At 43.1% G+C, this 27,089-nt stretch overlaps 1 protein-coding gene and 1 long non-coding RNA gene across 22 annotated transcripts in view; both read left to right on the forward strand.

Annotated features, from left to right (window-relative positions):
* Positions 1–27,089, forward strand: part of TSNAX-DISC1 (TSNAX-DISC1 readthrough (NMD candidate)) — a 512,620-nt gene that overhangs the window by 236,892 nt on the left and 248,639 nt on the right. For all 6 annotated transcript variants that reach the window (NR_028393.1, NR_028394.1, NR_028395.1 and 3 more), the window contains 2 exons: positions 1,596–1,725; positions 5,291–5,526. This is a non-coding gene — a long non-coding RNA (TSNAX-DISC1 readthrough (NMD candidate)). The remainder of the gene's footprint in view (positions 1–1,595; positions 1,726–5,290; positions 5,527–27,089) is intronic.
* DISC1 (DISC1 scaffold protein) overlaps positions 1–27,089 on the forward strand; it is a 414,483-nt gene that overhangs the window by 138,755 nt on the left and 248,639 nt on the right. For 14 of the 16 annotated variants that reach the window (NM_001164537.2, NM_018662.3, NM_001012957.2 and 11 more), the window contains 2 exons: positions 1,596–1,725; positions 5,291–5,526. The exons of 1 other annotated variant lie outside the window; for it this stretch is intronic. In NM_001164537.2, the coding sequence (NP_001158009.1) occupies positions 1,596–1,725; positions 5,291–5,526 (366 nt within the window). Of the gene's footprint in view, positions 1–1,595; positions 1,726–5,290; positions 6,119–27,089 lie in introns of those variants that run through there. One more of the 16 variants, NM_001164549.2, reaches the window with a different exon arrangement.

Genomic DNA, 27,089 nt, shown 5'->3' on the forward strand with positions numbered 1-27,089 from the left:
TTGGACATAGCTTCCTTGAATTGTTGACGTAGTTTTGCTTAGGGTAAATTGTTTTCCTGCCCACCTGCATTCCATTAGAAATGGATTGTTTTAAGGGTGAATTTGTCATTCTTTGGTGACAAATACCAACAAGTCTCCTTTAAAGACAGCTCACCAACATAAGGCCCAAACCTGTGCCACATTTTCACTAGCATCACTGTCACCAAATATGTCAACTCCGGCAAGAATAAGAGAAGGAGCCTAAAAGATTTTAAGTGGTTTTGACAGTCTTTAGCAAATTTTTTCTGAGAAGCTCGCATCCAAGCATCTGCAAATCAGTCACCCCTCCTTTTAATCTCCATCAAGGTCAGCTCTGGAATTTGGCCCTGTTTGGATAGTCCAAGGCAGTGCTATCCAATAAAATCTAGTGTGAGCCATATACACAATTTTAAATGATCTAGTACGCACATTAAAAAAGATTAAGGGCCAGGTGCGATGACTCACACCTGTAATCCCAGCACTTTGGGAAGCGGAGGAGGGAGGATCACTTGAGGTCAGGAATTCGAGACCAGCCTGGCCAACATGGTGAAACCCTGTCTCTGCTAAAAATACAAAAATTAGCTGGGCATGGTGGCACACGCCTGTAGTCCCAGCTATTCGGGAGGCTGAGGCAGGAGAATTGCTTGAACCCAGGAAGCTGAGGTTACAGTGAGCCGAGATTGCACCATTGCTTTCCAGCCTGGGTGTCGCAGTAAGACATTATCTAAAAAAAAAAAAAAAAAAACAAAATTAAGAAGAAAGTTAATCAAGTGAAAATTCTGCCAGGAGCTCAGTTGCATTTTCTAGAACTCTTGGCCTAATTTTATTAAGTTCAACACTGTGATAAGTGCTGGGAATAAAAAAAAATGTGATGTGGGCTCTGCAAGAAGTGTATTTCTCTGTGATTAAAGCTGATTGTGGGAGAAAATCTTCTGAAACCCTCAGTGACAACCTTCTCATTGACTAGTGACTCAAACAGTAGTGCAAAGCAGAAGATTCTAAATGAGCAGAGGAAGGGTGGATGCCGTAAAGGCAAGGGAACTGGTGAATTTCAGAAATAGTGAGTGTGAATTCAATACTCCTAATCATTTGAATAAAGATCTTGTTATATTTCCCCAAAATTAATAAGAAACAGGTGAAATTAATTTTAACAATACATTTAATTCAATATATCCAAAATATTATCTCAACATATAATGAACTTAAAAATATTACGAATGAGTTATTTTGTACTCTTTATTTTCATACTAAGTCCTTAAAATCTGGTGTGTGTTTTACACTTTTAGCACATTTTAATTTGGGCTAACCATGTGTCACATGTGGTCAGGGGCTACCTTATCAGACAGTGCAGGTCCCATAATAGTATTCTGACTAAGGGGAAAAAGCAAAAATCACAAGAGATTGTAATTCAGGTAGAAACTTACATTAAGGAGCTCATCCTAAAAACAGGTAAGTACCCTCCTAAGTATGAGAACAGATGGGGGCCACTTGCTGGAGTTTCTTACTCTTAAAATACTTGTCAACATGAGGATTTCAGCTTCTGCATACCTGTACCAATAGGTATGTGTTGTTTTAAGGGCCAGCGGAGATGACACCCACACCCCACTGAGAATGGAGCCGAGGCTGTTGGAACCCACTGCTCAGGACAGCTTGCACGTGTCCATCACGAGACGAGACTGGCTTCTTCAGGAAAAGCAGCAGCTACAGGTGAGCAGGTGAAAGATCTTCAAGAAATATGATGGCATTTTTCTTTTCTTTGAGACAGGGTCTTGCTCTGTTGCCTAGGTTGGAGGGCAGTGGTGCAATCATAGCTCATTGCAGCCTTGAGCTCCTGGGTGATTCTCCCACCTCAGCCTCCCAAGTAGCTGGATCTACAGGTGTGAACCCCATGCCTGGCTAAATTTTTTTATTTTTAGTAGATATCAGGTCTTAGTATGTTGCTCAGGCTGCTCTTGAACTCCTGGGCTCAAAGAATCCTCCTGCCTCAGTCTTCCAAAGTGCTGGGATTACAGGCGTGAGCCACTGTGCCAAGCTGGCATTTTTCTTATCCATTTAAGCCAAATGCAGCCAAGTGGGTCTTTGCTTTCCTTGAGTGTAGCAATTAGAGCCTTGGCTGTCAAGCCGGGGAGTACAAAAAGGAGAGATGGTGGGAATGACTAGAAGGCTTGTAGGAATCTCATTACAAACGAGGGTTGAAAGCTCAGCAGCATTTGTGCCTGTTTTCGATATTCCTCATTACCTTTTGAATATGCTTTTCTTGTCTGCCAGGCCAATTTGCCACTTCTTATCATTTTGACCTTTAGAAGCTTCCTTTGAAAGGCAGAAAGACATCTGTGCTGTGAAAATCCTTTATGGAAATTCCTATCATGGTAGACTGTGAGCTGCAGTTGTTAAGAGACAGAGTTGTAAGTCCGGACTGAGCAAGGCAGGCACATCTGGAATGATTAGCCGGCTGCTTGGAAGCCCAAGGTTGGCCCAGAACAGAGGATGCAAGTTGGCTAAGAATCATCGAGGGGCTACAAATCTGGGTGCAGCACTGAGTTAAAGCCAGAGCTCTGGAAGTTGACAGGGCACCCCAGAGGCAGGGAATCTTGAAACAGGGTCCATGCCTGCTTGAGCCTGGAGCTGTGAAGCATGAGTGGGGAGCGATGAGGACACATTGATTAGAAGCAACGTGACTTCATGGGAAGAGCATAGGTCTTCAACACCCAAGTTCAAATCCTGGCTTAGGCTGGAGGCTTCCCATCTCTGATCTGGTCATAGAGTATTCGTGTTATCTGAATTTGCCCCATCCAGGTCACTGCAAGAGTAAGGTGGCAAAGGGAGGAAAAAGTCAGGGCAATTTATTTGAAATTATTTCCCCCATTAACTGAGCACTTACACAGTCAATGTGCATCATTATAACGTTTGGATAGCTGAAAATGTGAAATCTGGTTTTTGATTTTTAATAACATTTGCCAATTAAAGGTCTACACAATTCCTGAGACAGTCAGAGTGTACAGAAAATAATTTTAGCCCTGGGCACTTAGTGTTTGAAGCACTCTGGGAAAGGTACTTGAATATTCATTTATTCAACAGACATTTATTAAGGGTTCACTAAGTGCCAGATACTGTTTGAAGTGCTTGAGATTCCTGGGGAGCTTTTGATCCACTAGGGGTGAGAATGGGGAGATAGACAATAAGTGATAAACATAATAAAACCTCTATTAGACAACTGGTATGTTATAGGGTGATAAGAGCTTCACAGAGTAGACTAAGATGATGTGGAAGAGGATGGAGTCTACTCATTGAGAAGTGAGATTGGACCCAACAGTTCAAAGAGGAGAGGGAGTAGGCCTTGCAGAAATTTCTGCAAGAGGATCCTGCAGGGGGATACCAACATGAAGGCTTAGAGTGGGAGTGGGCCTCCTGTGTTCAGAGGGCAGCTGGAGGCCCATGTGGCTGGAGCAGTGTAAATGAGGGGGAGGATTTGGGGAGGAAGTCAGAGATAAAGGGGCCTTGTAAGGATGTGGACTTTTCTCAGATTGCAACAGGGAACCATTGGATGGTGTTAAGCAGTGAAGTGACATGATCTGACCACATTGTAAATAATTTGACTCCTGTATTAGGAATAGGATGTAAGACAATAGGAAAACAGTATGCAGCTTCCTTAAAAGATTAAAAATTGATTGACTGTGTGGTCCAGCCACCCCCCCTTCTGGGTATATATCTGTCTCAAAAAAATTGAATGCACAGACTCAAAGAGATGTTTACACACCCATGTTCATAGCAGCGTTATACACAATAGCCAAAAGGTGATAACAACTCAAGTGCTCATCAACAGATAAATGATAAACAAAATGAGTATGTACATGTAATGAGATATTAGTCTCGGAAGGAAATTCTGACACACGCTACAGCATGGTTGAACCTTGAGGACATTATGCTAAGTGAAATACACTGGTTGCAAAAGGATAAATGCTGTATGATTCCACTTGTCTGAGTTACCTAGAGGAGTCAAATTCATAGAGAAAGTAGAATGGTGATTCCCAGGGACTTGGAGGAAGAGAGGATAATGGGGAATTAGTTTTCAATGGGTACAGAGTCTCAGTTTTGCAAGATGAAAAGAGTTCTGTGGATGGATGGCAGTGATGGTTGTACAACAGTGTGAATGTACTTAATGCCACTGAACTCTACACTTAAAAATGCTCAAGATGGTGAATTTTATGCTATGTGTGTTTTACCAGTTAAAAAACTAAAAGAAAAAGAAATGAATAGGGTAGAGGAAGTCAAAAGTGGAGGTAGAGAGGTTAGTTGAGAGACTTTGTCAGTAATACTGTAATCTTGGAGCAATTGGGGACACTGAGGCATTACTTTTTTCTTAGAATGTCTTGGTAGTAGACATTCTTTAGTAACTCCCAATTCTTCTCCCCACTCCCAGACTTGAAGTGGGTTCAGGAGGTAGAAGTTGTAGGTGATGCACCTCGGGGCTGAGAGAACGTGAATAAGAGGTTAGGAGACACCCAGGATTAGAGTTGCACTCTTATCCCCACAAAACATGGGAGTATGTTAATTAAGAGTCTTATTTTTTATTCAGAATCATATGGGCAGTGAGACGATGATCTACTATAACACTGTGCACATGACGGGCATTCATTACCTGCTGCTTGTTTAGTTAATTGACCTTAATATTAAATGATATTTTATGGATTATTTGGATTTCAGTTTGCTATATTCGTAGAAATTAACATTTATTTATATTTTCATGAACTTTAGACTGCATGGCACCATCTGCAGCATCTCATTCTTCTCTCAGTCCTGTAGACTTAAGAAGCCATTTTTTACCTTTCTCTGTACTCTGAATTCTTGTGTTTGGGGACAGACTAACAAAGGGTCAGTTGCATTTCTTGTTTTGGTCTGTGGCTGGGGTAACCTGCTTAGCTCAGACCTCAGGTGCATGAGGCTCCCTGCCCTGTGTCCTAACTCATCCATCCGAAATGAAGTAAGTCATTTATGTATCTGCTGGGTTCTTCCAAGTCAAATTCTTGGCTCACCCCCCATAGTTATTTAATGCTTGGGAGGGAATGTTTTTCCTTATGCCAACTCATTAGAAATATAAAGCTGGCATGATTTTTCCAGTTCAGCAAACCTCCAAAAATCTGCCTGCCTCAGAAGGGGAGTTTTGTAGTTCTGGTGCATATGGCCAATTCTCATTTAAACGAGTCATTATCCTCAGAGCAGTTTGCCATGAGCAGGGTTAATTTATAAAATCTTGTCTCCTCATTCTCTACAGAAAGAAATCGAAGCTCTCCAAGCAAGGATGTTTGTGCTGGAAGCCAAAGATCAACAGCTGAGAAGGGAAATAGAGGAGCAAGAGCAGCAACTCCAGTGGCAGGGCTGCGACCTGACCCCACTGGTGGGCCAGCTGTCCCTGGGTCAGCTGCAGGAGGTCAGCAAGGCCTTGCAGGACACCCTGGCCTCAGCCGGTCAGATTCCCTTCCATGCAGAGCCACCGGAAACCATAAGGAGGTACTGCTGATTTCCTAACTGATTTTGGGTCGCTCGCCTCTTTGACCTGTTCATTGGAATGATTTTGTCTGCTGTCTTTCATTTCTAAACATTTCCCAAGCAGTCTGTATTTTTCAGTGGAAGCACCATTGGTGTTTTGGGTGGGAAAATTCTTCACGGTGTGGGGCAGTCCTGAACATTGCAAGTTATTTCACATCCTGGCCACTTAACCCACTAAATGCCAGCGACCCTCCCCATTCCAATATGCACCCTCCCCATTTCCAAACACCCTCAGGACACCCTCTCTCCCTTTGAGAACTGTTGGAATTCAATTGGTTAGAGATCCTAATGCCAACTTTTGCTGAGGACGATCATCTGGATGAACTATGCCTCTCACTAAGGGAAGAGGCAAGCTATTGAGAGAGGGACACCCAATGGCAAAGTTCCCATCTGGAAGAATGGATTGTTACTGGTAGCTAAAATGTATTGGGTGCTTACCATGTACCAGGCAGTGTTATAAGCTGACTCTATGAGTTACTTCGGTTGTTGTATTCATTTTACAGGTGAGGAAAAACGTTTAAGAAGGTTATAATTTGCCCAAAGTCCTAATTAATAAGAGAGAAAACTGATATTTACACTCCTGTTCATTAATTCTGAAGCCCGGTCTTCTCCACTCTACTCTGGAGTGAGAATCATCCCTGTATTCTGTATCATGGAATGTCTATAAGATACACATCTACTTTTTGCCCTTTATTTATTTATTTATTTTTAAGAGACAGGGTCTTGCTTTGTTGCCCAGGCTGGAGCACAGTGGCACAATCATGGCTCACTATAGCTTCAAATTCCTGGGTTTAAGTGATCCTTTCTGCCTCAGCATCTGGAGTAGCTGGAATCACAGGCTTGAGCCTCCACATCTGGCTATTTTTTTTTTTTTTTAAGTTTTTTGCAGAAATGGTGTCTCTCTATGTTGCCCATGCTGTTCTTGAACTCCTGGGCTCAAGCGATCCTCCCTGCCTCAGCCTCTGGAGGAGCTGGGACCACAGGCTTGGGTCACCACATCCGGCTATTTTTTTGTTTTTATTTTTTTGTAGAGGTGAAGTATTTCTATGTTGCCCAGGTTGCTCTTGAATTCCTGGGCTCAAGCGATCCTCCTGCCTTAGCGTCCTGAAGTGCTGGGATTACAGGTTTTAGCCATTGCACCCAATCTTTCTTGCCCTTCAAGAGCTCATACTCTCATTTCTGAGACATACAGAACGCACACTTACACATGTTGGACAAAAAAGTGAGTGGCACCCGAATGGGTAGATGAGCAGTAAGGACTGCAAGTGCTACGTGGGTAGAGCCGGGAGTGGGAGCAATGGTCGGCTTGGCCACTGTGCTGAAGAAAAGACTTCCTACAACTCACCACCTGTAGTGGTTGAGAATACGGACTCTGCCACCTGATTGTCTGGAGTTGAAGGTTAACTCCTCACTCAACTCATTATTGGCCGATTTGAGGAAAGGGGTGTTGATAATAATTTCTACCTTATAGAGCTATCACATGGATGAACCGAGGTAGTACATAGAAAACTCTCAGCAGAGCCTGGATGGTACTAAGCACTTTATTGTGCTTCCAGTCGTCGTCTTTACAATGGAAATTTCAGTCTTCTGAAGGCCTTCAAACTACCCGTCCAAATATATCTTACTGTATTTAGTGAACGACTGTTCTGTCTTCCACATGTATCACATCCTATCCAGCCTATAAAAGCAAGCGGCACATGCTATTCTAGGGAGTTACTTAAGATCTCCTCCCATTCCCCTTCTATCCCGAATATTTCCAGGCAGAACTCTCCATGGCTCATGCCCATGGAGAGGGGGAAGAGATTTGGATTGTTGCCGGTTTTCATCCAAATGAAACGGGTCCCTTGAATACAGCTTGTTCTCTCCCACCTGCACTTTCAGAACCATTCTTCAGCTATTGCCTTGGTGTGGTGGGTAGGCTGTTATGTTCTCATTTTGCAACTGAGGAATCAAAAACTCAGAAAGTTTCCCTGATGATGTAGCTAGTAAGAGACCATCTTGTGTACAACTATGGCTGTCTTTGGGCCTGAATCAATAAAAGATGGTTTCCTTCCAGAGAGCCAAGGAAGCTATTTCTATGACTAATTCTCTTTCCTCATCTAAAACTAGGAGCTCCACAGTGTGGTTGGCTGATAGAACTGAGCCCAGGACTTGGTCTGGTTTTCTACCTGTATCCTCTGGTTTGCCTTTTAATCAGGATGAGTCACAGAGAAGGCATGAATGTGTGACTTTTACTGAGTAATCTAGTGCTTTGATAGGTTTTTATTTGTTTGTTTGTTTGTTTGTATGTTTTGAGATAGAGTCTCTCTCTGTCACCCAGGCTGGAGTGCAGTGGTGCGATCTCGGCTCACTGCAACCTCCGCCTCCCAGGTTCAAGCGATTTTCCTGCCTCAGCCTCCTGAGTAGCTGGGACTACAGGCTTGTGCCAGCACACCCAGCTAATTTTTTGTATTTTTAGTAGAGACAGGGTTTCACCATGTTAGCCAGGATGGTCTTAATTTCCTGACCTCATGATCTGCCCTCCTTGGCCTCCCAAAGTGCTGAGATTACAGGCGTGAGCCACTGCGCCCAGCCAATTGGATAGGTTCTTGAAAGGCATTTCAAAAGTTGTGGCTCTCTGATTTTATGATGCTGTTAGGGAAATTATATATGAGGATGATCTTGAACATGGGGCACTGCTGTCTGTGGGGTCCTCTGGGAGAATCCACCATCCCCAATCCGAACATTCCCACTGAGATTACAGAGGTCAGGTCAAGAACAGGCTGCCACGTTTTTGTGCTGAGGTGACTATAGGAAAACCTGGGTATCTCAAGGACTTTCAGAAACCATGAAGGCTTCATGTAGGAGGAGATCTTGGGAATGTAAGGATGAGGCTGGGAACAGTGGCTCACACCTATAATCCCAGCACTTTGGGAGGCCAAGGCGGGAAGAATGCTTGAGTCCAGGAATTTGACACCTAATCTCTACAAAAATAAAAAAATAAAAATAAAAAAAATTAGCCAGGCATGATTGAGTGTACTTGTAGTCCTAGCTACTCGGGAGGCTGAGGCAGGAAGGTTGCTCAAGCCCTGGAGTTCGAGATTACAGTGAACTATGATTGTGCCACTGCAGTCCAGCCAGGGCAACAGAGCAAGACCCTGACTCAAAGAAAAAAAAAAGGAATGTAAGGACGAAGAGTTTCATGGGAGGGTAGGAATAAACCAGAGCAGTTAAAAGGTACAAAAAACCTGGACAATCTAATGACTAGTTAATAACATGACCTTTTTCTCCTGCGATAAGGAAGTTATACAGGTGCCTGCAGCATGGAACACTCATGGTGAGCAGAGGCCATCAGCACTGGCTGGAGTTTTGTGTGGCTGGAGTGTGGCCACCCTGAGACATCCTCATTATCTGGGTGATTCTCAAGAGGTGATCCTTGGCATCAGTCTAATTTACTTTGAGGTGCAGGGAGGTATCGCCGCATCTGGAGGGCAGTGTGGGCTGTGTAGGTGCACACTTTGATTGGTCAGCTTCCTTTCTTCCACCGTAGGGAGGTGAGGCATCAGACTGCTCCCTGCCGTAACCATCAACTAGAGAAACCCGTCATCAATATTTGGGCTTTCCATTTGAGAAGGAAGATATGTCTTTTCCAAGCTGATGGGCTGCAGCATGGATCTGCAGAAGTGAAGCATTTGAAAGAAACCAGTGTAGAACCAGCTGGCTCAACAGGTCAGAGAGATTGCTTGGTCTAGTATTTTTAACTAATTGGACATGATCCTGTTAACCTAATTTTTGCTATGAAGTATTGGTTGTCTTTTAGAAAATGCTGACTTAGGGATAATATCCAGTAGGTATATTTAGCCAAATGAACCCATCTTACATACATCAATAGCTGCCTTCATTGTTCATGAGAATAGGCTCTTCTTAGGCCAGATGGAGAGAGCCAGACAAATTGTGAAACAGGAAAACCTTGAAGTCTTATAAAGAGAAGTTGCAGAGACTAGTATTGTTACAAAACCTAGAGAAACAGATCACTCAACATCACGACTGTTATCATCATCTATAAGGATTTTCATAGAGGCCAGATACAAACTCAGGGTGCTGTCTGTTTGTAATTTACTCAACTTTCTAACATGCAATTGCAATATGCTTTGTTTCGTGGACAACGACCCAACAACTTGAAAAGAAACTTCCTAATAGCATGTGACATTTCTGGATGTATCACTGGTGGAGACTTACGTGCTTACATGGAGGCCATCGTTTCTGACTGTGGCTTGTTGGGAACCCCCTGGCCAATGTCAGAGATGGGCTGGAAGTAGAGGGCATGTGCTGGGGTCAAGGACACCCAGTGATTTTCGGTTTGGGTGTGATAACAGAAATCAAAGAAGCCATTTGAATTTTCCAATGTCTGTGTTCTGGATCAAATAACTTAGCAGGAGGAGATGAAGTGTTACCATCCCAGAGACATCATAGACACTTTTTGAGTAGAGCCAACAAAAATGGTTTTCTTCCAGTGAACAAAAGGAGAACCCTTTTTAAGCACTGGAGAATGAGGAGCTCCACAGTATGGAAGCTGACAGAGCAGGGGTGCATGAAAGGACAGGAACCACTTAAAAGATATGTTCATTTGAATTTCTCTCATCCCTGGGATTTCAACCCCCCTGCTTTAAAACAAGTGCCTTGTTTTCTCCTGCAAGTCTTCCTTTGATGTGAGGGTCTTAGAAGAACCACTTTTACCCAGTGAGCTTGGTTCTTCTCCCACACGAAACCCATGGTTCTTGTTCTACCCCCTGCTGACTGCATTCCCATTCTCTGTAATGGGATTGTGATGTGGGGGTGGGGGAGGGAGGAGAGGGAAAAGATGGGGGACACAGGGAGGAGGTGACAGTGTCCAAGATTTTCTGTGGATCACATCCCTCCATGTGGGCATGAGGTTCCATCTATTTATTTGGCGTAAATTGAGGAGAATGGTGATTTGCAGCTCCTCTCTGTCTAGCACCATTAGCTCAGCCTCCCCTGGCTTCTTGTTGGTTTTATGTGTCTGGAAAACCAGGGGAGGGCAGCCTGTGACCTCATGTAGCATGCATATGGCTAACGGCAAAGTGAGGGAGGAATAATTATAGTAATAATCACAGTGATGACGTGGAGGGCTGCCTAGGATGCTTTCTAACATTCTTTAGAAATGCTTGACTGGCTTGTATTCATCTGGGGTTGAGTTCTTCATTCCTCAGCTCCTCGGATTTTTCATGCTTCATGTGAAATGTGTTCTGGCAGCTCATGGATGAATTGTCGCTTGTTGTGCATTTGGAAGAAACATGTCACATCTTTTGCAAACCATTGGCACAAAGTGTGAAACAAACTCAACCCCTGGTTACAGGAGGGCTGGCTGGGCCTTGGTTGGAGAGTCTGGGAGCCTCGCGGCAGGGCTGGGCTGGGGAGGCTCGCGGGTGGAGAGGAGCCAGGCCTTCTGCAGTATCCATGCCCCCAGCCACTAGCTAAACTGCCCAGGGCTCCCTGGCGGGGGGCACTGATTATGCAGGGTGCTGCAGGCATCCTCATCACACCTGTGCTCAGTCCACAACATGCAGTCCCTGCTGATGTCAGTCCTCCTTGCAAGTGAGATTTGAAATAATGTAATTCACCAGCTCACAACTGAATGGGAAAAAAAAATCAATAGTTCCTCTTTTCCCTCAGAAACATATCTTATTAGAGTGAGGAGACAGTGAAACAGCAAGGCCTGAATTGGAAAACTGATCCTGAATCTAGGATCCTGGTAGAGATTCTCAAAGAGGGTTGCGTGGAAGCAGCTGTGTGGGAGGGGTCCCATTAATGCTCTTGCCCCGGGGGTAGTGCGAGGCAGCCACCAAACTGGAGTCACGCACAGACTGCAGAGAATATCCCTGCAGCATATCAGCAGTCTCCAAGCTGCTTTTCCATTCGTGAAGATTGTTGTTCTTTAATCTCCACTTCTGGGCTTTGTCTTTCTCTCTCCTCTGTCTTTGCCTTCTACCTGACTGGTTTGCCAAGACAATGGCTTTATGGGACTGAGAGCATTAGACATCATCTGGAGAAAGAGGAGAGCTTTGCATTTTTCTAGGAAATTCTGATTTTCCCCCTCTTTTTTTTGGTAAGGACTTTTCTCTCTTTTTTAGAGATGGGGTTTCCCTCTGTCCCACAGGCTGGAGTACAGTGGTATGATCATGGCTCATTGCAGCATTTTACTCCTGAGCTCAAGTGATCCTCCTGCCTCAGCCTTCCAAGTGCTAGGATTATAGGTGCATGTCACCATGCCAGGCTAATTTTTTAATTTTTTATAGAGATGGGGGTCTTGCTATGTTGCCAGGTTAGACTTGAACTCCTGTCCTCAAGTGATCTTTCCACCTCAGCCTCCTGGGTCACTGGGATTACAGGGTTTTCTTTTCCCCCTACTCCCCTTTTTAAGTAAAGTAGACATCTTGCTTTTCTCAGGAATTCATGAGGCAGAAAAATATTTGCCAAGACAGCAAATGCAGTGAGACAGAAGTGTGTGAGCAATGCTGGCCAGATGGGTGCCCGGAGTGAGGCTTCCCTGCATAGGCGACATCTGCAGCATTCAGGACCTCCCTGCAGGTGTGCCCTCTCCACTCAAATTTATCCTGTCTGTCCTTCTTAGTTAGACTGGTGTTGATACTCATACACTAATTTTAATATCTCTGTTATTTACAAACTGTCATACTTGCTTACAATAACCCTATAAGGTTTGTTGGGCAATATATTGTTTTTATGCCCATTTTGCAGATGAGGCTGCTGAGGGTCCAAGTTCACACAGCCGTAAAAGCAGTGCCCTCACGTCTTTGGCGAATTTTTAATGCAGAGGGAATCCAGAGATGGTTCACACTGATGGCCTGGGAGAGACCAGGCCTTGGACAGAGTGCTTAGTCCAGCAATGGAAAGAAGTCCAGCCCAGCAGAGCCGTGGGTCTGTGGGCCCAAGGAAAAGAGAATGGATGTCCCTCCAGGCCAGGGATGGTTGTCTCTGTGTGCCTAGTGTTGCCTGATTGGATTGGAGCCAAGGTGTATCTAAAAATAGACAGCCTGGGAAGACCAAACAGGCAACTGTCTCAAGTCAGAGAGGTCTGTCAGACGTTCCAAAGAAAGAAATGTGAGAGGAAGAGAAACTGGAAAGCAAGGCCCCGCCCCAGGGCTAGAGGAACTGGTATTACTTGTCTGTGAAAAGAGGGTTTGAACTGGGTGGCGTGGAAGGTCTTTTCTGGTTCTACAATACTTTGCACTTTAGTATTTTATGAAATAAGTTAAAATAAGCTGCCTAAAAACCCCTCATAATTCTATTCCTAGGAGCTCTATGTTAAGTTCCTCCTTAAAGTTCCCTGGGCAGGCTGTGACCATCCACAGGCCACGGTGCTCCAGCTGGCACTTTCCTTAGGGCTGGTCCCTAGAGCATGGACCTGAGCAAAGCCTGCTTTCCAAGCACTGCTGCTGCAGCTCAGAGCTTAGACCTCGCCTCACCATTGTATATCCTCCCGTTTTCTTCTGGAAAGTCGTCATTACAGGCAACGTGGAAAAGTTTACCAGACTATAATCTGGTAAAGGAGGAAGAGGATTGGAAAAGAAGGAAGAGATTTGAAAATCCCCCTTATCTGGCTGGGTACAGATGCTGCTCACCAGGAAATGTAGGTTCCCAATAAAACAGGACCCCCATTTCCAGTTTTCATTGCGTTGTAAATTAAAAATAAAATCTTAAGCCCCCAACCACTGAACGGATTCCCTCTTGGCCAAGGAGACCCCAGAGACTCCATACAAACTGAGTTCCCAGCCCCAGTGGGCCGGGAGGTCGGATTTGCCTTGTTATAATCCCTCCCTTTTGTAGCTTAGACATAACAACAGAGCAGCATCAATGCTAAAACGAGATCATAAGAACTGATGGAACAGACTCTCGGTGGCAATAAGATACCAAATTATAAACAAGACCTAAGGCCATGCCAGGCAGGGATAAGTCTCACACCCCTGCACCTAAAGAGTAAACTACCTTCTGACTGCCACCTGGGTTTTCTTTTTCTCTAGCGGCTAAACGAGCACTGTCCTAGAGATGAGCTATCTTAAAACCATGGCAGTCCTTGCACCGCCAGATGCTGACTGACTGACTCTCTGTTCCACCAGCTGTAACTGCAGCTTTCATTAGAAAAGAGACTGATTTCAGTAACTTTCTTCTGATACAAAGACCAACTGTGGACTGCTTCTGGCCTATTTAGAGACACTTGAGTGCCTTTGTGTTCTGAAAAGACCTTTTACATAGAGGGCCTAATTGTAATACATGTAAATGTTAAGTCTCCACCCTAAGGTGAACATAAGTTGTATATAACATGTATGCTTATTCAGTATGCATGCATTAGGACCACCTTCATGAATATTCATAGCTCCTGCTATAACCTGTGGAATATGTATACTTGGTCAACCTATTCTTGTTTTTTTTTTTTTTTTTTTTTTTTTTTTTAAGATGGAGTCTCGCTCTGTCGCCCAGGCTGCAGTGCGGTGGTGCATCTCAGCTCACTGCAAGCTCCACTTCCCGGGTTCACGCCATTCTCCTGCCTCAGCCGCCGGAGTAGCTGGGACTACAGGCACCGGCCACCACGCCCGGCTAATTTTTTGTATTTTTAGTAGAGATGGGGTTTCACCGTGTTAGCCAGGATGGTCTCAATCTCCTGACCTCGTGATCCACCTGCCTCGGTCTCCCAAAGTGCTGGGATTACAAGCGTGAGCCACCCTGCCGGCCTTGGTCAACCTATTCTGTGTAAATTCCTGTCTTACCTGTCCCTCCCTTAAAGTGCCTGCTAATGGCTTCTGCCGGAGGCTATGCTTCCCAGCCTGTTAGAATGGCAACCTTGCAGGCTGTAACCCCCTTTTAAGAAATAAAGCTCTCCATATTCTCACTCATAGGTGGGAAGTGAACAATGAGGTCACATGGACACAGGAAGGGGAATATCACACTCTGGGGACTGTTGTGGGCTGGGGGGAGGGGCGAGGGATAGCATTGGGAGATATACCTAATGCTAGATGACGAGTTAGTGGGTGCAGTGCACCAGCATGGCACATGTATAAATATGTAACTAACCTGCACAATGTGCACATGTACCCTAAAACTTAAAGTATAATAAAAAAAAAAAAAAGAAAAGGAAAGAATGAAAAAAAAAAGAAATAAAGCTCTCCTTTCTAAATTGATAAATTGTGTGATTTTTAAGTTAACAGGCTATATTTGAGAAACTCAAGGGAGGAATTCTGTTTTACTTGCAGATGTAAAAAAAGACTTTATTAACACATGAAAAAATGCTCACCATCACTGGCCATCAGAGAAATGCAAATCAAAACCACAATGAGATACCATCTCACACCAGTTAGAATGGCAATCATTAAAAAGTCAGGAAACAACAGGTGCTGGAGAGGATGTGGAGAAATAGGAACACTTTTACACTGTTGGTGGGACTGTAAACTAGTTCAACCATTGTGGAAGTCAGTGTGGCGATTCCTCAGGGATCTAGAACTGGAAATACCATTTGACCCAGCCATCCCATTACTGGGTATATACCCAAAGGACTATAAATCATGCTGCTATAAAGACACATGCACACGTATGTTTATTGCGGCATTATTCACAATAGCAAAGACTTGGAACCAACCCAGATGTCCATCAATGATAGACTGGATTAAGAAAATGTGGCACATATACACCATGGAATACTATGCAGCCATAAAAAATGATGAGTTCATGTCCTTTGTAGGGACATGGATGAAATTGGAAATCATCATTCTCAGTAAACTATCACAAGAACAAAAAACCAAACACCGCATATTCTCACTCATAGGTGGGAATTGAACAATGAGATCACATGGACACAGGAAGGGGAATATCACACTCTGGGGACTGTTGTGGGGTGGGGGGAGGGGGGAGGGATAGCATCTGGAGATATACCTAATGCTAGATGACGGTTAGTGGGTTCAGCGCACCAGCATGGCACATGTATATATATGTAACTAACCTGCACAATGTGCACATGTACCCTAAAACTTAAAGTATAATTAAAAAAAAAAAAAAAAGAAATGCAGCCTCAGGAAAAAAAAAAAAGACTTTATTTTGTGCTACAGTAACATTTACGATGATTTTTGAATAACAGAACAAAGGAGGGTGAAAAAATGGATATGTATTTTATAATGTATTTTAATATTTTACAAATTCTCTGGGCTTGTTTTCTTTAAGAAGCTTACAACATGAGTCTATTATTCTTAGTATTATTATTGTTTAGGTAGCTCTTTGGAGGCTTGTGATTTGTAGACTCATCCATTTCTCTTTTATATAATTTAGGCATTAGATTAATTATTTTCAACTGGAGCCCCATGGATTATCAAAGATGAGAGATAGTCATTTTAGAATGATCATAGCTAGTTCTAATATTGCAGCTGCAAGTCAACTCTCACAAACATGAAAGCATGTGACCTATTTTAAGTCTTTCTCCTAGTCGATTTCAACTTTTAGTTTCCATTATTATCACCTTGAGAACCGTTCTGTACTTAATTTCTCTGTAATTTACATGTCTTTTGCAATCTTCTGTTCCCTTTATCAAATTCTCTTATTCTTTCCTTTTTGTAAGTTGTATGTTACTATTCCCTGCTTTAACTTTTCAGATGTTAATTTAGTATGTCAGGCTAAACTCTTCTTCAGACCTTGAGCTGAAACTCTGGGAGAAGAGCAGAAGTTTTGGAATCTTCCAGCAGAAGGTAATTTAGCTCTGCTCAGATAGACCCTTCTCCAGTGACTGCTGGGAATATCCCCAGGTTGGAAATACCAGCTCATTGCTTGCTGAGAATTTAATCAGTTAAGAGCACACCTTTTTCGAGCTGTGGAAGGGTGATTAATCTACCCTGTGCTGATAGCTAGGCTGCTAAGATGACCCAAAGCAAAGCCAGACAGAACCTCTAGATTTCCTGTAGCTGCTTTCAGTGGGGGGTGCTGTGTCTTATATAGAGATCGTTGTTAAACATTCATCTTGACTTTCATTGTCATTACTATTTTGTACTTCCTCTTTGGCAAATTTCCTCAGCTTCCTCTTTGAGTCATGTTGATATTGGTGTTTGGATTCTTTATGCAATTTCTCCTTTAGTCAACTGGATTTTTTTCCTACTGTTAATTCATTTTGTTCACCAGTGGTCTATTTTTGCCTTTCTTATCCAATAAAGTATGTCCATCTTTAGTTTACCCACAGAAACATTTTAGGAAATGAAATCGACAATATTCCCCAGTTTTAGGAATCAGGCTGATCTGTTGCTTTGTCAACAGATTTTGAGAGATGCTTGAGAGAAATGTGAGGTTAAAATTGTCTCTGCAGACTTGAGCTGTGCATATGCTTATTCTTAGCCAGACGCCAGTTAATTAAAGATGATTCAGAAAAGAAGAATAAACCCACAGCAGAAAGTACAACGTTTTTGGCAAACTTTACAGTTATGGAAAATATAAATACTTAGAAATTTAGGAGAAGCAAGAATATATTTTAAAAATTAGTATTAAATATAAATGCAAATGGCTGGGCACAGTGGCTCATGTCTGTAATCCCAGGACTTTGGGAGGCCGAGGTGGGAGGATCACTTGAGGTCAGGCGTTTCAGAGCAACCTGGCCAACATGGCAAAACCCCGTCTCTACCAAAAAAAAATACAAAAATTAGCCGGCTGTGGTGGCACGTCTGTGTAGTTCCAGCTACTCGGGAGGCTGAGGTGGGAGAGTCACTTGAACATGGGAGGTGGAGGTTGCAGTGAGTGGAGATCGTGTCACTCTACTCCAGCCTGGGTGACAGAGCAAGACTGTCTCAAAAAATATAAATAAATAAATAAATGCAAGCAGTTCTGGGTATTTATTTAAAAACTCAGTTGTTCCCATGGGAGCAACTGGACATTACTTATTAAATAATCAGAATAAAGGGAGGGTAGTAATTGAAATGGAAATATGAAGTTGCCTTTGGATCACGTAACAGAATAAGCCTGGATGTAGTATCATTTTCCCCTTAGATCAAATTGTTGTATTTAATGGGTTGAACTCACTTGAGTTTTTGGGGGTGGGGGAAAGCTCTAGAGCCCAAGTACTGAAATCTTGTTTGGACATTTAAATACATCGTGGTTATGAGAATAGTTGAAAATATGGAGCTGACTTGATTACCAGTCTCCAAAAATAAGAGGCTGGTAATTTATTTCCTTATTATTGTAAAAAAGAATCATTAAAGAACTTGTGAGGAAGGGGTAGAAAGGAGAATGATTATGATCTGAACATAAGGCTGTTCATATTTCTGATTCCTGTTCTCATTTTTTCATTATTAAACCACCAAAATCTCCTACAGACAAATGTCTGTAAGTCAAAATGTTTTTGGCACATGAATTACAGTTTCAGTTTGGAATAAGATTGTTTGAGGCAATGAGAAAGATCTGGTTGAATTAATACTTGGAGTATTTGGATAAGCCAAATACCAAGTTCATCAGTTAAAAATAAAGCTGTGATTTTTGATGAAACTGGACTTCAATGCATGCTGTGATGTTGTGATGTCAGGCAGAGCTTCCCAGTAAGCCTGGGGACCTGCAAGAGATGGCACGGGGTGAGGGTGTGAACGCGTGTGTGTGCTACCTTACTCATATGTGCCAATTTGGAAAGTTCAGCAAATTCACTATTAGGGCTTACTCCTTTCCTCTGCTCACTGCCTTCGCATCAGCACCTCGATCACAGGAAATCTTTTCCAAGAAAAGATCAGAAATCCTTACGTTCATTTTTTTCTCTCCCTTTCTCCCTCCATTATCCCTTATGATATGAGTTACATGGGTGCATCTTATTAAAAAGGGTTCATGGTCTTATAAAATGTGACATCGGCCGGGCACAGTGGCTCACGCCTGTAATCCCAACACTTTGGGAGGCCAAGGTGGGCAGATCACGAGGTCAGGAGTTTGAGACCAGCCTGTCCCAACATGGTGAAACCCTGTCTCTACTAAAAATGCAAAAATTATCCGGGCATGGTGGTGCGCACCTGTAATCCCAGCTACTCAGGAGGCTGAGGCAGTACAATCGCTTGAACCCGGGAGGCAGAGGTTGCAGTAAACCGAGATCGCACCATTGCACTCCAGCCTGGGTGACAGAGCGAGACTCCGTCTCAAAAAAAAAAAAAAAAAGTGACACCTCATTTTCAGTTTGCTGAGTTATTTGGAGAAGTTGTACTTTACTAAAAGGACTCAGAATATCAGAGTGTAGCATCCTAGTGGAAGACACAGTATCCTTGAAATTCAGAGAAATAGGGAGAATGTGAGTCATGATGTGATGTATATTCAGAGAAAGAGTCAAATAACTAAACGTTCAAGTATTTCCCTGGCCTAGTTTTCTTTGGTTCTTTTACTTAATGTCCTTAGCCTTGGCCAGAGAGAAAAACTCTAAATATATTTATTCCACCCTTGTTAAAAATTTATGTGCCTGATTTTGGTCAGATTACTCTAAAATATTTTCTTACTATAATCCAGGTATGGTATATGTCTGCATGATTTATGAAATGGTCTTTCTATACTTTATTCCTCCCATGATCCTCAAAAGATGAGCTAGTTGGTGAGCACGAAGGTGAGTGTCTGGCTTGAGTCCAGCAAACTCTCTGGCTTCAGCCACCACCGAACTGGAAAGAGATAATGTGCTTTGCCAAAGGTGGCAAGGATGGCAAGCAGAGGCCCTGGTGCTCCTACCTCTCAGCTCAGATCTCTCTCCACTGCACCACACTGGCTTTCCCAGAAGTAAAGGTCTCAGATAACCAGCTTGAGTCATTTTTATAGCCATGTAGAATGGCTTGCTTCTGATGAATTTATGTACCCTGTTGTGCCTTTACAAGATCATCTGAAGTCTAGAGGAATTCATGGCGTTTGTGCCTCTGTGCTCCATGAATGTCCGATGGGTGCCATGTGACATTATCAGCTGTGAGGATAGAAGGGTCTAAGGAAAGAAAAAGGCCAAGTAGATAAACATGAATTTCCTAAAGCTGTTTCCACAGTCATTTTGTTATCCACTTGCCCTCTGACAGAAGGTGAGGGGACTGAGCAGTCATTGGCAAGGTTGTTAATGTCAACAGATTTGTCTGTGTGTGTGTGTGTGTGTGTGTGTGTGTGTGTTATTTTATTTATTTATTTATTTATTTATTTATTTATTTATTTAGAGACAAAGTCTTGCTTTGTCACCCAGGCTGGAGTGCAGTGGTGCGATCATAGCTCACTGTAGCCTCAGCCTCCTGCACTCAAGGAATACTCCCACCTCAGCCTCTCGAGTAGCTGGGACCACAGACACATGCCACCATACTTGGCTAATTTTTGTATTATTATTATTATTATTTTGGTAGAGACGGGTTTTCACCATATTGTCCAGGCTGGTCTTGAACTCCCGCGCTCAAGTGATCTGCCCATCTTGGCCTCCCAAAGTGCATGGGTTACAGACGTGATCCACCATACCTGGCTGTGTGAGTGTGTTTTCATTAAAGGCCCAAGTGGCGCCTGTGCTAAGATAGCTGTCATTTTGCTCTTTCCATCATTTGTAGTTTGCTTTAGTAATAATCTCTCATTCTTAAACTGAGTTTTACAAAACAAGAAACAGGGGATGGGATAGGGAATGTAGGGAGAGGGTAGAGAGAAGGCTGTGCAGAGATAAAATTGAATTTCTCATCTCCTGTAGCTTTTTGCTAAAGTGGAACTTCAGCATAAAGCCTCATATACACAGGCAGGAAGATGAGCGGACAACTGTCTGCAGGGAGCAGGCCGTTTGCACAGTTAGCTTCCTAGCTGAAAAACACATCCCTCACTTAGTGTAAAAAATGACATGTATCTCCTGTATATTTGTCTCTATTTTATATTTCTAATATCTAATATATCTCTATTATCTATTATATTTCTGTCTCATCTAATATATTCTGTATATTTCTGTCTCTATTACTCTATTATAGAGTGAAAAACAACATGTGTCTCCTGTATATTTCTGTCTCTATTATCAATGTTATCTGGCACTTTATAAAACCTTTGTGTTTTTTAGATTCTCTAAATATCTAAAAATAAAAAAGGCTAGTAAAAGATTTTTGAATGATAGAGCAGTTAAAGAATATGGGATAGTAGACCTGGAAGGATTTTAGAAATAATTTAGTCCAACTTCCTCATTTTGCAACTGAGAAGATGGAGCCCCAGATGAAAGTGACTTGTTCAAAGTCTTGCAGAAAGTTAGTGGGGTAGTGGTGTAATTCTCTAAGTGTCGTTAATATTCTTTTTCTGCAGAGGTCCAGATAAGAACAGGAACAGAGTTTGTTCTTCAAAGGCTCATCTTTGGGGCAGGTGTGTTGTTGTCACCTTGGATGTGCCTCTAATGCTGAGAGCCAAGGCTTTGCCTCCAGTGCCAGGTGCTAAGGTGGTTATGGCTGGGTTACTGGTGGTACGAGGAACTGGTAATAAACTACCAAAGATTGTATGGAATGAGAGGTGGTTTCTTTAGGATATAATATTAAAGGGGTCTATCCAGGCCTGCCTGACATTGTGTCCCAGAGTAAGGGGTCAAATGGAACTTCCCACCTTGTCTTCCTACCCTTGCACCTGTCCCACACCATGGTAGGTTTTATATGGGGACCTAGCCTGTATGCCCAGGTAATATCTACACCCTTCAAGGTAGCCTGTGCTCGACTACTGCTTGGGCCTAGAGGTATGCCCACTGCACTGCGTCCACCCTTGGGAGCAGTGCTCTGAGAAGAGGCCCTGGCAGGATGCAGCCTCCTGGCTCTTCAGGAAGGCACTTCTCGTTTTGGCTGCCTGAACCAGCTTTGGGTGGCATGTACCTTTGGCGCCCCATTTACCCTTCCCCTCAAGGATAAGGAGGATCAGGACAGAGCCCTCTAATGTGGCAGAGAGCAAGGAAGGCGTTCTTTTGCCTGGATCTAAAGCAAGTATTGGAAGTATTACTAAGAGAGGGTGTGGATTTAAGTATGTTCTAAGGCTCTTGAGATAGGCCTCCCTAAGGGACAGGATCTGGAGAAACCAAGTAAATAGTTGTTAGTTGCTGTTAGATTGGGGCATGGGATTCTCTAACCAAATAGATGCCCAATGCAGCTGTCTTAGTCCATTTTGTTACTACAGACTGAGTAATTTATAAAGAGAGGAGATTTATTTCTTACACTTCTGGAGGCTTGGAAGTCCAAGGTTGAGGGGCTTGCATCTGGCAAGGACCTTCTTACTGCATCATCCCATGGCAGGAAGCAGAAGGGCAAGAGAGAGAGAGAGGGAAAGAGAGAGTGAGAGTGAGAGCATGTGTGCTAGAGAGAGCGCTGGAGAGAGAGAGACAGAGAGAGAAAGAGAGAGACAGAGAAGGGGAGGGGACCAACCTCACCCTTTTGTCAGGAACCCACTCCCCCAGTAATGATATCAATTCATTCATGAGGGCAGATTCCTGGTAACCTAATCATTTCTTAAAGGTCCCGCCTCTCGACACGGTTGCCTTGGGAATTAAGTTTCCGACACGTGAATTCTGGAGGACACATTGACATTATAGCAATAGCTATAGGTTTTTGAGAAAGATGAGCAAGATGCTCTAAGCACAATCACTCTGAATTTTTGGAGCCATCTTCTGATCTTGGCAGCATGTTGGCAGTGAGAACTCATCTGGCACTTGCTAGAGGCAGGCTCCCAGATGAGACCACTGGTGCCCTTTGCCCAGGCCTACACCTCACTTCCAGACTTCTAGCTCTTGCCATTCTAAGAGGCAGGAATGAGTGACCCTCCACATTGTCTTCCTTCCCATGCCAGCCTGTATTAGTTTGCTGCCATAATAAAGTAGCACCACAGCCACCTGGCTTAAATACAGAAATTCATCATGTCCAGAAGTCCAAGAATCAGCCGGGCGCAGTGGCTCATGCCTGTAATCCCAGCACTCTGGAAGGCTGAGGTGGGTGGATCACTTGAGGTCAGGAGTTTGAGACCAGTCTGGATAATATGGTGAAACCCCATTTCTACTAAAAATACCAAAAAAATTAGCTGGGTGTGCTGGCGCAGGCCTGTAATTGAGCTACTTGGGAGGCTGAGGCAGGAGAATCGCTTGAACCCAGAAGGTGGAGGTTGCAGTGAGCTGAGATCACACCACTGCACTCCAGCCTGGGTGACAGAGTGAGACTCCATCTCAGAAAAAACAAAAAAAGTCCAAGAATCAAGGTGTCAGCAGGGTTGCTTCCTTCTGGGGACTGTTAGGGAAGGATCTGTATCTCTCCTTGGCTTGTAGATGATCATTTTCTCCCTGTGTCTTTTTATATCATCTTCCCTCTATGCATGTCCCCGAATCCACATTTCCCCTTTTATAAGGACACCAGTCATGTCGGAGTATGGTTGATCTTAACTCAAAGTACATTTGCAACAACCCTATTTCCAACTGCAGTCACATTCTGAGGTATGGAGGTCAGGACATCAACATACGAATTTTGTGGAGAACACAATTCAACACGTAATATAGCCCATGAAAGGAAACCCTCTAACAGAGATAAACCAGAGAGTAAGACTTCTGAGAGATGCAATTTAAAAAGAAGAGAGGACATCTCATGAGTTGACTCCAAGTTTTTAACCTCTTTCTCTGTCATGCAAAGCTTCACCCCAGCCATACAGTCAAGAGCAGCTGCAGCCTTTAATCCCTGATCCTGAGGGGGCAGTGGTGGGAAATGGGGATAAAGATGGAGCCGCTCCCCATCCTGTGGTTTGAGTGTGCCTCTAGCAGAGGTGAGGATGCTTCCACCCCACCCCACCCCACCCCACTTATTTCTTAGAAGACAAGAATGTGAGTATTGTTCATTAATCAAATACTGATTAGGTACACACTGTGTACCAAACACTTCAAGTACTTCTCCAAAAATCCTTGCCCACATGAAATTCTTTTTCTAGTAGTAAAAGGCAGAAATAAATAACAAACATAATAAATTAGTAAGTTACATGTAGGTTAGTAGAAAATGAACATGACCTGGGGATTGGGGTGGAAGACGAGTGGATGTGAAATTTACAGCTGTCAATGGAGTAGTCAGGCCAGCCTCACTGAGAGGGTCAGAGGTGAGCAAAGACTTGCAGGTGGGAGGGGGTTGGCCCATTATGTGTGCTGGGGCAGAAGGTCAAGGCAGTGGACCCTGCACCAGCCACAGCAGATTTGAGGAGCTGTCAGGAGGCCTCTGTGGCCAGGGTGGAGTAAGCAAAGAAGGGAGCTGTAGGAGAGGAGGTAAGAGACGAGATGAGAGATGGGCCATATAGGCCCTTGCAGACTTGGCTCGACTCAGGTGTGATGGAGTGAGTAGTGGCATTTTATTTGACATGCTTGTGAAGGCTCACCCTGGCTACATCTCAAGAACAGACTGTAGAGGAGTGAGGGTGAACGCAGAAGAACTGTTCAGAGACGATTGCAGCATTTCAGAGGAGAGGTGCCCGTGGCTTGGAGCAGAGTGGTAGAAGTAGAGACAGTTCTTTGGTCAGATCAGTTATCTTTAGAATAGTTTCTCACTCCCAAGTCATTGAACCAAAATTGCCTGGCTGTCTCCTCCTGTATAAATGTCTCATTCTGGCCCTTGACCAAGTCTTGGCTTGTATTATCTAGATTAGTGACTGTTATTGACTTAAATTCCATTTGCCCTTCTAATTACGGCTGAAAAGCAATCTGTCCCCCAAGATTGAATTTTTATTACTCATATTTTTGACATCAGTGGTTGCATTCTGTTTGTGATATTGCAAGAGTATTGAAGGGAGCCCTTTTTCATTTCTAATGAATCATTTTTAAATAATAATTTTAAAATCATAATCCGTAATCATTTTTAAAAATGATTTTTAAAAATCCATAATAATCATTTTTAAAAATCAAAGACATTCTCACATAACATTTTCTTAGAGCCACCATTCATAATACTTAGCTCCTAAACTATAGACAAGAATGGTAATGTTCTACACACGTTTATTGTAGCAGCCCACAGTCTCCCAGTTGGGCAGATTGAAAAGAAACCGTCAGTCTGAAGAAAACAAAAGAGTGCCGTGTTTTCTGTTGGACCTGCTGCTGCTGCTACATGGAGTAGCAACTCTTTTTACCTGGATCGTGAAGCACCAGTGTGCGGTGCCCTAATAATACCTATAACTCATCATACCACAAGAAATGGAAAATTCCACATGCATGAGTCTGCTAGGGCTGTCGTAATAAAGTACCATGGACAGGGTGGCTTAGACAACAGAAATTTATTTTCTCACAATTCTGAAGGCTGAATGTCTAAGATCAAGGTGTCAGCAGGGTTGGTTTCTTCTGAGGCTCCTCTCCTTGGCTTGCAGACAGCTGTCTTCTCTTTTGTCTTCAGATGATCTTCCCTCCACATGTGTCTGTCTCCGCATCTCTTCTTTTCTTTTCTTTTCTTTTTTTTTTCAAGATACAGTCTCCCTCTGTCGCCCAGGCTGGAGTGCAGTGGCATGATATCGGCTCACTGCAAGCTCTGCCTCCCGGGTTCACGCCATTCTCCTGCCTCAGCCTCCCAAGTAGCTGGGACTACAGGCGCCTGCCACCACGCTCGGCTAATTTTTTGTATTTTTAGTAGAGACGGGGTTTCACCGTGTTAGCCAGGATGGTCTCCATCTCCTGACCTTGTGATCTGCCCACCTCGGCCTCCCAAAGTGCTGGGATTACAGGCGTGAGCCACCGCGCCTGGCCTTCCACATCTCTCCTTATAATGATACCAGTCATATTGGATTGGGGTTCACCCTAATGACTTTATTTTAAATTTATTACCTATTGAAAAGCCCTATCTCCAAACATCGTCACATTCTTAGGTACTGGGGATTCGGACTCCAACCTGTGAATTTTGGGGGACACAACTCAACCGGTGACAGGCACCTTTGCATTTAATTTTCTTTTGCCACAGCCACCCCCCAGGCTCATCTGCTGCTGATGTGCGTTCTGTGCAGCACATTCATGTCAGTAGTCTCAATTTTTGTAAGGTTTCATTTGTTGAGGGTGAAATTTGGTCATATGATTGGAACACCAGTTTGTGAGTAAAGAATAATGTGTATTTACAAATCATGATATTGATTATATTGTACATTGAACAAAATTCTGAAATAGAATTCCAAAAATTTGTCTGGATGACAGTTCATTTTAAATAGGTACACAGCTTCTGGGAGCGGTAGTTAGTATTGTTCAACAGTTAGGAGAGCAGATAGTTAGACTGCCTGGGTTACTGTTTAATCTCCCATAATTACCAGCTGGTTACCCCTGGGAAAGTTACTTAAACCTCTCTTAGTCTCTTTGATGAAATTTTCTTGTCTTACAATGTAGATAATTAGAGTTTCTACTTCATAGAGTTATAATAAGAATTTAAAATGCTCATCTACATAGAGAATTTGGGAGAGTGTCTGGTACATAGTAAGTGTTCAATAAATGTTGGATTCTATTATTTCCAGGGCAGCCACTTTGAATGAAGATACTCATTTGGGTAAATTAGGTCTGGTGTGTTTCTGAAAATGTGTTCGCTAATTTGTTTGGACAAATTGTGTGTTTCTAGGGTAAGGCATAATTTCATCTGAGAGGATAATTCTTGTTTGTTATGAATAATATGCAAGTTTTTTAAAAAGTGGGGATTGGTTTCACTCATTAAAGTACACGGAACTCCTGCTTGTCAGCATTGAACTGGTCTTATTTTCTGGTTTTTGGTTTGTAGTCCTGCTCCTGGAATTACGGTTTGGGGACCACAGTGTGATGGCAGCAGCAACATGTGTGTATGTTTGGGGGACTAATGTGACATCTTTGTACCCTAGGCCAGACACCCCACTTCAATAAAAGCAGATTCCCTGTTATCTTTATTATGTTTTATAGTGCTGTGTAAACTTTGGTTTGAGAGAATTCTTCTACTATAAATAGCCTGAAACCCACTAGCATAGTATATAGATTCCTCATATCGTCTGCTCCCCCAACAATTGCTTTTATTCTGTATATACCCCAGGGATACAACTAATGTTAATAGTAGCCTGAGCAAAACGTAATTGGGAAGGCAAATCTGTTGCAAAAAGGAATATAGCATAAATTAATTATAAATCAAATTAAATATAAAACAATGCATTTAATTATCTGCATCACTGCCCCCTTCCTCTAACATGGATATCTGAGAGGAGACTGATTTTCTTTCTGGGATAGGGCCAGATCTCAGCCCAGACAAGTGAACTGTGTCAACCCCTGGAAAGATGGTGCTTGACCTCCTTTTTTGTGATATGTTGGGCATTAGCTAAAGGCACTGCTGTTTTGGTCAGCTAAAATTTCAGTATCAGTAAGAGGATCTACTACCTATCTGAATTGTTAATGCATGGGCTAGTCTTTGTGTGTGATTGGGAACACCTACTTATAATATACTATTAAATGCTCATATAGGTTCAATGATGTGTTGAACCATTTATTAAAAATGTATTTGTTGAATGGACTCTAACGAGCCCAGCAAGGGAAAGTGCATTTCTGCCCAAGGAAGGTTTTCAGTTTG

The sequence above is a fragment of the Homo sapiens genome, chromosome 1 (assembly GCF_000001405.40).
Source record: "Homo sapiens chromosome 1, GRCh38.p14 Primary Assembly".
Classification (NCBI taxonomy): Eukaryota; Metazoa; Chordata; class Mammalia; order Primates; family Hominidae; genus Homo; species Homo sapiens.